Here is a 7,940-nt window from a genome sequence, read left to right as displayed (position 1 = left end):
TCCCTCCTGGTGGATTCGTGGTCTCGCTGGCCTCAGAAATGACGCTGCAGACCTTCTTGGTGAGTATTACAGCTTGTTAAGGTAGTGCAGACCCAAAGAATGATCAGCAGCAAGATTAATTTCAAAGAGCAAAACAACAAACCCACCACACTTCAGAAACGGAGGGAGCGGTTTGCCGTCGCTGGCTTGGTCAGCCTGCTTTTATTCCCTTATCTGGCCCCACCCACATCCTGCTGATAGGTCCATTTTACAGAGAGCTGATTGGTCCATTTTACAGAGAGCTGATTGGTCTGTTTTGACAGGGTGCTGATTGGCGTGTTTACAATCCCTGAGCTAGACACAGAGTGGTGATTGGTGCATTTACAATCCTCTAGCTGGACATAAAAGTTCTCCAAGTCCCCACTAGATTAGCTAGACATAGAGCACTGATTGGTGCGTTTACAAACCTTTAGCTAGACACAGAGTGCTGATGGGTTCGTTTACAATCCCTGAGGTAGACACAGAGTGCTGTTTGGTGCATTTACAATCCTCTAGCTAGACATAAAAGTTCTCCAAGTCCCCACCAGATTAGCTAGATACAGAGTGTTTATTGGTGCATCCATGAACCCTGAGCTAGACACAGAGTGCTGATTGGTGCATATACAAGCCTCTAGCTAGACATAAAAGTTCTGCAAGTCCCCACCCCCCTCAGGAGCCCAGCTGGCTTTGCCTGTGCCCCTGCACTTCTGAGCCCTTGGGTGGTCGATGGAACCCTGCGCCACCGGCACCACAGAGCAGGGGGCGGTGCCTATTGGGGAGGATCAGGCTGCATGGGAGCCCATGGGGGATGGGGGAGTGCTGGGGGGGGCACTGGGGGGGGGGCGCTAGGGGAGTGTTGTTGGGCATGGTGGGCTGCAGGTCCTGAGCCCTGCCCCGCGGGGAGGCGGCTGACGCTCGGTGAGAATTTGAGCACTGTGCAGGTGGGCTGGCAGTGCTGGGGGGTGACCCAGTGCACCCTCTGCAGCTGCTGGCCCAGGTGCTAAGCCTGTCACTGCCCTGGGCCGGTGGCACTGGCCCATGCTCAGTGTGCAGGGCTGCTGAGCCCGCGCCCACACACCCACCAGGAACTCATGCTGCGGAGCAGCCCAGGTTCCCACCCACGCCTCTCCCTCCACACCTCCCGGCAAGCAGAGGGAGCCAGCTCCGGCCTCAGCCAGCCCAGAGAGGGGCTCCCACAGTGCAGCCACAGGCTGAAGGGTTCCTCAAGTGTGGCCATAGTGGACACCGAGGCCGAGGAGGTGCCGAGAGCGGAGGGAGGGCTGCTAGCACGTAGTCACCTCTCATTACAAAGTCATTTACAGTGTAGGCTCTGTGGAGAGGATATCTCCTGTCATAGCTGAAGTCTGAATTGACCTTAAGTTCCCTGCCTCCAAACCCTATTTTCCTGCCTCAGTGGGAGGGGATGAGGTCATGGGGGTGGTTTCCCTGGTTTAACACCATCCCCCTTGGTAGTGTCATCATGATAGTGAGCTCTCGTGAGATCTGTTTGTTTAAACTGTGTGGTACCTCCCTTTTCTCACTCTTGCTCCTGCTCTGGCCACGAGAGACACCCCTCCTGCTTCACCTTCTGCCATAATTGGAAGCTTCCTGAGACCTCCCCAGAAGCTGACACTGCCATGCTTCCTGTAAAGCCTGCAGAACCATGAGCCAATTAAACCTCTTTTCTTAGCAGTTACCCGGTCTCAGGTATTTCCTTATAGCAATGCGAGAATGAACTCATACATTTGTGAACAGTCTCTTGTTGACTTTGTCATTTCTCTTTTCGTGGGAGCTTATTCGGCTACTGTTTTAAATTGAACAGTTCAAGGCTCTGGTCCAGGAGGCTGTGGGGTTGTTCTTCCGGTCTAGGATTATTGAGGAGAAGGTATCATAGAATTTTAAATCCAGAGGGTGCCTTAGAGAGTATCCATCCCCTCCTTTGACAAATGAAGACACTAAAGCTCAATACATTAGGAAGTGACTCCCCAAACTACATTAATTGAATAATCTGTGTGCATCTGCTTTTCCTCAGCGGTTACATCATCCATGCTTAGAATGTGTCTTATTAAGCATTATGTATATGTAATGCAGCAAGGGTTTCCCCCTGAAAATCGGTTATGAAATGGATGCTGTGTCTTGTAATTAACAATGTCTTAACCCATAGGAGCCATGAGCATGAGGCTGCATCAGTTTTATTCAAGAAAGTGTATCCGGTGCCTCAGCAAGCTCCCTCCCTGGGCCTGGCACATTAGCAAACCTAAGCCAGCAGTGTGTAAAGTGATCATCCATCTTGACCAAGCCGTGTTTAACTCAGGGATCCAAGCAAGCTATTACTTTAGATAATATATAAGCTTAATTTGTAATACTTACAGACTTTTAAAAAAAGTACAGTTATTGCAATAGAGAAGGAAAAGTCTTTGATAATTGTCGACATCATATAATGCTAACCTTTCACTAAATTAAAAATAGGAAGAATTTTCCTCACCTGAATTGAGGGTCTGTACTGCAAGCCTTCAACAATGGTCATTCTTAGTAAACAATTATGAAATGTTACCTTTAAAATCAGAGATAAAATAAGGATGCCAGCTATCACCAACTCCACTCAATGTGCTGCTTAAAGTCCTACCTGGTGTATTCAGTCAAGAGAAGAAAGAAAAGATTTACGGGCTAATAAGGAAAAGAATTTTTAAACATACCGTCGGAATCTGCAGACAATGTGATTATCTACATAAAAAACCTAGCAGAATGCACAAATATTTATATTTCACAAGCGCTAAGCAAGGTTGCATAATCAAAATCAAGATCACAGTACAGAAGTCAACTGCATTTTTACTCACCAGCAAAATACAGGTAGAAAATACCACTTTCAAAGAAACCATTTGCAATAGCAGCAGCAACAACAAAATCATTAATTTGTGTGGTGATTGTTGATGTTCACTAAATATTTCCAGTTCTTTTGCCAAGCACACAGGGGATCACATGGGCCTTCCCCACTGAATTTAGTGTGGCCCCATGAGCAGAAGGGGTGCGTATTAAGAGGCAGTGAGCGGTTCTCAGCCTCCCGCTGCAGTGGCAGCAGGTTTGACGTGGGGCTGCCCCATCAGCCCCGGTCCTGGCTGGAGCAGCGTCACCAGGCAGCCTGTGTATTCAGAAGCAAAGATGCGTAGTGGGCATTTGTTGCTTGAGGTCACTGAGACTTGGCATTGTTTGTTACTGCAGTGAAATCTACCCTTATCCTCACTAGTCTAGAAATAGAAGAAAGATGCTAGGGTAAAAAATAATCCTCAAATACCTGGCATTGTCTTAGTAGTGAGTTGAAGACCGGCAACTGTTACTGAAGGCTGAGAAGATGCCATCTACATCGTGCTGAAGAAAGCATTTGGTGAAGGTCCTTCTGGAGGAGCCAGAGAGTCAGGTCACGTGTGTGTTATGTGTGTTGCTACCAGGTATTGGTTGGTGCACTGGTCTCCTAGCACTGTTGTAGCAAAAGTACCATACACTGGCTGGCTCCGAGAACAGACATGTATTCTCTCATAGTTCAGGAGGCCAGGGGTCCAAAATCAAGGTGTGGCCAGCAGCCCGCCCTGCCACAGAAGGACCTGGGGGAGCCCTTCTGTGTTTCTTCCTAGCTTCTGGAGGCTCCCAGAGGGACCTGGCCTCTCTCGGCTTGTGGCAGCCCCACTCCGGTCTCTGCCTCCTTCTTTACAAGGCCTTCTCCCTGTGAGTCCGTGCCTGTATCTTCATGTGGCATCTTCCCAGAGAGTCTCTGCGTCTCTTCTAATAAGAACTCCAGTGACTGGGTTTAGGCCCACCCTAATCCCATGTGGCTCATTTGGACTTGATTACATCTGCAAAGGTACTATTTCCAAAAAAAATCCCATTCGCGGATACTGGGAATTAGGGCTCGGTCATATCTTTTTGGGGACACAGTTCTAGCCACAGCAGTTGGCAGTGTCTGTACAACAAAGTATTACAAGAAAGGGATAAGCTTGTCAGTGGCAGGCAGGACTCAGAGGGGCAGAGAGCCCTCAAATTCAGGGACTCGTAGGATTGGAACAGACAGTTGCTTCTCCCTTGATAGCGTAAAAAGTAAACTTGGAAATGCTTTGAACTGCCACGACTGTTTGGATCTCAGCCTTTCAGGCAAGGCTGGTCAAGTGCTTGGTCCCTAGACTCATTGTTAACATCTCTTAATAGACTAGCACATGAGGGAACCCCAAAGGCTGCCTTGGTTAGAGACTCCTTTAGCAAGGACTAAGTGGCTCCCGGAAGAGGGCAAGGGTTTCAGCCTCCCAGCAGAGCCCATGATACCAATAGACAGGTCAGTCCTATCTGCTGAGGGCCACAGGAGTAAGGAAGCCAGGGAACGTGGCAAGTCTACTAGGAAGACCTACAGAGTCGCTGAGCATGCAGCTCTTGATGTGTGTGCTGTGTGGAACCAAACAGAGAAGCAGCTCACTAAGCTCTTGAAGACTTTACTGCCAAAGAACCACACACTGTGGCTAAGAGAGACTAAGATTTTAGGGAATGAAAGTGACCCTTGGCATCCACCATCTGTAAACAAGAAGGGGTCTGGGAGGGAGTGCATCTGATGCCCACAGTGAATGTGGCCATGGAGGCGAATGGAAAAGGGATGTGTTTGTTAGGCCACTCTTGCATGGCTATGAAGGAGGACCTGAGAATGAGTAATTGATAAAGAAAAGAGATTTAATTGGCTCACTGTTGGGCAGGCTGTGCACGCATGATGCCTGCATCTATTTGGTTTCTGGGAAGGCCTCAGGGAGCTACCAATCATGGCAGAAAGCAAAGTAGGAGCAGGTGCTTCATATGGCAGGAGTGGGAGCAAGAGAGGGAAGGGGGAGGTGCCACACACTTTAAACAGCCAGATCTCACGTGAACTCAGTCATCACCAAGGGAATGGTGCCAAGCCGTTCATCAGGGATCCACCCCATCGCCTCCGGCCAGGCCTCACCTCCAACACTGGTGATTACATTTCAACATGAGATTGAGAGGGGACAAATGTCCAAACCATGCCAAAGAAGAACCACCCAAGAGGAGGGGCCCAGTGCCTTGAAGGGCGACAAGCAGCAAGCCACCCCCAGGAGCAGGACCAGGACCTCATCAAGAGACAGCCCGGAGCGGGTCCACACCACATCTGCCTGGTTATTGTAGACCAGTGACTGTGGCCCGGCCTGTCCTCCTTGCTCCGAGTGGGGCCATTCATCATGGTTGCCTATATGGCCAACTGGATGTTAGGGGCACACATCCTACACTTGCTGGGTCACAGATCCCCGGGCTCTGAGGGGCTTGATCTGGGCCTGATGAAGAAGCTACCGGGCATTGCTCAAAGATCCTGGACTCAGCCCTGGATGCAGAGACAGGACACCACCCTGGGATATGGGGCTGGGCTGCACAGAGGAAGGGAGGGGACCCAGTGCTTGCTGGCCAGAAGTGTGGATCGCTAGGGCTTAGTGCTGCCAACCGAAACACCTCCCCTCTCCACACACACTGGCAGAGCAGGGGTAGCCCCGGGACGGGCGTCAGCCCAGGAAATGTGAGTGGAAGTGCATGTGTCACCTCCAGGCGGAAGTCTGAAGGCTCCTTTCCTTCTGGATAAAATTGCGACTAGCAATTGAGATGGTGTCTTCTCTGTCACTGTGGGTCACAAACTGAGTGGAGCCCACAGTTAAAGCAAGAGATAAACTTTTATCATTTTAAGAACTGAGCTCTGACACAGCAGTTACTACGGTGTGACTTAGCCTGGATTAAATAGCACAGTTCTCGGGAATAAACCGACAAGCAATGCGCGGCTACGGCAGAAAACTGCAGCACTCTGTTCAGTGACATTAAGAAAACCTAAATAAACATCCACCATTTGAAGACTCAGTATCACAATGGTGTCAGTGACGTCACTTGGCTCTATAGATGTAATGCATTTCTAATGAATACCTCAACACAGACATTTGAGGAGACTGACCAGGAGCAGGAAGAACCTAGATGTTTCTAAACAAGAAACATAATGGTGAGGGCTTGGAACAGCCCAGCCACACATCAAGACTTAGGTATTAGTCATGGTGCAATCAGAACCTCCGTGAATATTGTGAGATGAGGAATTTATTCAGTCAGTAAGACCGTGCACTTGTGGGGGAAACGGAGGCATTTGGGTTCAGAGCAGAAGCTGTAGATTCAGAGGAAAGTCACCAGTCAGCACCGCGGCAGCACCGGAGCAGGTGTGGAGGTCAGAGCTGGGAGGGGCTGGAAGCTGGAGCCACCAGCTGCAGAGCTGCACACCGAGGATTGCTGGGGGGCTCATGGGAGGTGAGGGTGCCTCGAGATCGTTCCCGGAGGTCCCAGCGCAGCGTCCGGTTGCCAGCCTGGGGCTGCTGTCAGCAGGGCCGACCCTGAGGAAGAGGACGCTGGGCAGAGCCGACACCTGAGGGTCTGTCCGGCACCACACCTGGCCAGTGGGCCTGTGGGGTGTCGGCCACTGCTCTGCCTTCCTAGTTCACCGCGACCTTGTACGGGGTGGGGGTTCTGGGAAATGCAGCCCCAGCTTAGCAGCCCCACCAATCAAATGCAGTGCAACAACCCCCAACTCAGTACGAAGTTAGAGTAGTTAAGACGGTGGGACACTTATGCACAGGGAGAAAAAGACAAAAGGGTGCAAACCCAGAAAGAGACCTGTGGACCTCAGGAGGATCACGAGAGAAAGAGGCCCTATTCAACAAAAGGTCAATACCTCGAGAAATAGAATTTCTCTCCATGTAAAAAAACAGAAGAAAGTAAAAACCTCACACCATAAACAAGAGTTTATTCCAGAGGGATGGAAGGTTCAGGTGTCAAAGGCCAAACTCTACAATCTAAGGTTTCCTAAACAAAACACTGAAAGTACTAACCATAAAAGAAAAGATTAATAAAATCAACTACATTTAATTTAACAAATTTCTTTTTTTGTCAAAAGTTACCAAAAGAGGGTAAAAGGACAAGCCAGAAATTGGGAAAAGATATTTGCAACACAACCAACCAGCAAAAGATTATCTATCTAAAAGGTGTAAAGAAGCCTTAACAAATCAATAAGAAAGAGACCAAATGGTTATAAAATGAGCAAAATATACAGACGGCCAATTCACAAAGAAGCAAATCCAAATGGCATAAAAACAATGAAAGGACCCTTAAATTGACTGAGATCTTTGAAAAGCAAATCAAGGCAAGCATGAGATACCATTTCACACAGGCAAAACCCACAGAGGCTGACAATATCCCATGCTGGCAAGGGCATGGAGCAGGTGGGTGGTCTCACGCCCTGCTCCTGGGTGTGCAAATTGGTACAGCCACTTTGGAGAAGATTTTAGAATTAAGTATGTGTACCCCTGACAACGTAGCAATTTCTAAATGTATGCCCTTGAGAAGTTCTCATACATACGCACCAAGAAACATTTACAAGGATGTTCACAAAACTGTACGTATGTGTGAGCCACTGGAAAGCTGTGAATTCCCCTGAAGGGTGGGAGGTGGAGGTGGCAACACGTTCTGCAGCGGAACTGCATTCGGCAAATGCAGGAGAGCTTTGTGCACCATTACAATCTCGGGAATGTTTCTGAGTAAAAGAAAGTGACTTGCAGAGGCATATGTAGAGTAGGATTTGTTATCCAGGGATAAGTGTGTGGTCTAAATCCTGTATATACCTGTATATATATGTACCTGTATGTTAGTTATTGTAAAGCCAGTGATTGCTCTTGAGATTAAAAATGATTTTAAAAGCTTGGAACAATGGTTATTGCTGGCAGCAGTGACAGCAGGATAGGCACATCTGGGAAAGGACAACCGCAGAGTGCTCCGTATTGGAAACGCCCAGCACCCAGATTAGGGTGCAGATTCTCAACTGCTCATCTTATTATTACGTCATGACTTACACGCAGGGC

This window comes from Homo sapiens, chromosome 13 (assembly GCF_000001405.40).
Source record: "Homo sapiens chromosome 13, GRCh38.p14 Primary Assembly".
In the NCBI taxonomy this organism is placed as follows: Eukaryota; Metazoa; Chordata; class Mammalia; order Primates; family Hominidae; genus Homo; species Homo sapiens.
The sequence above is the reverse complement of the archived record's forward strand: the minus strand, read 5'-3'. Positions refer to the sequence as shown.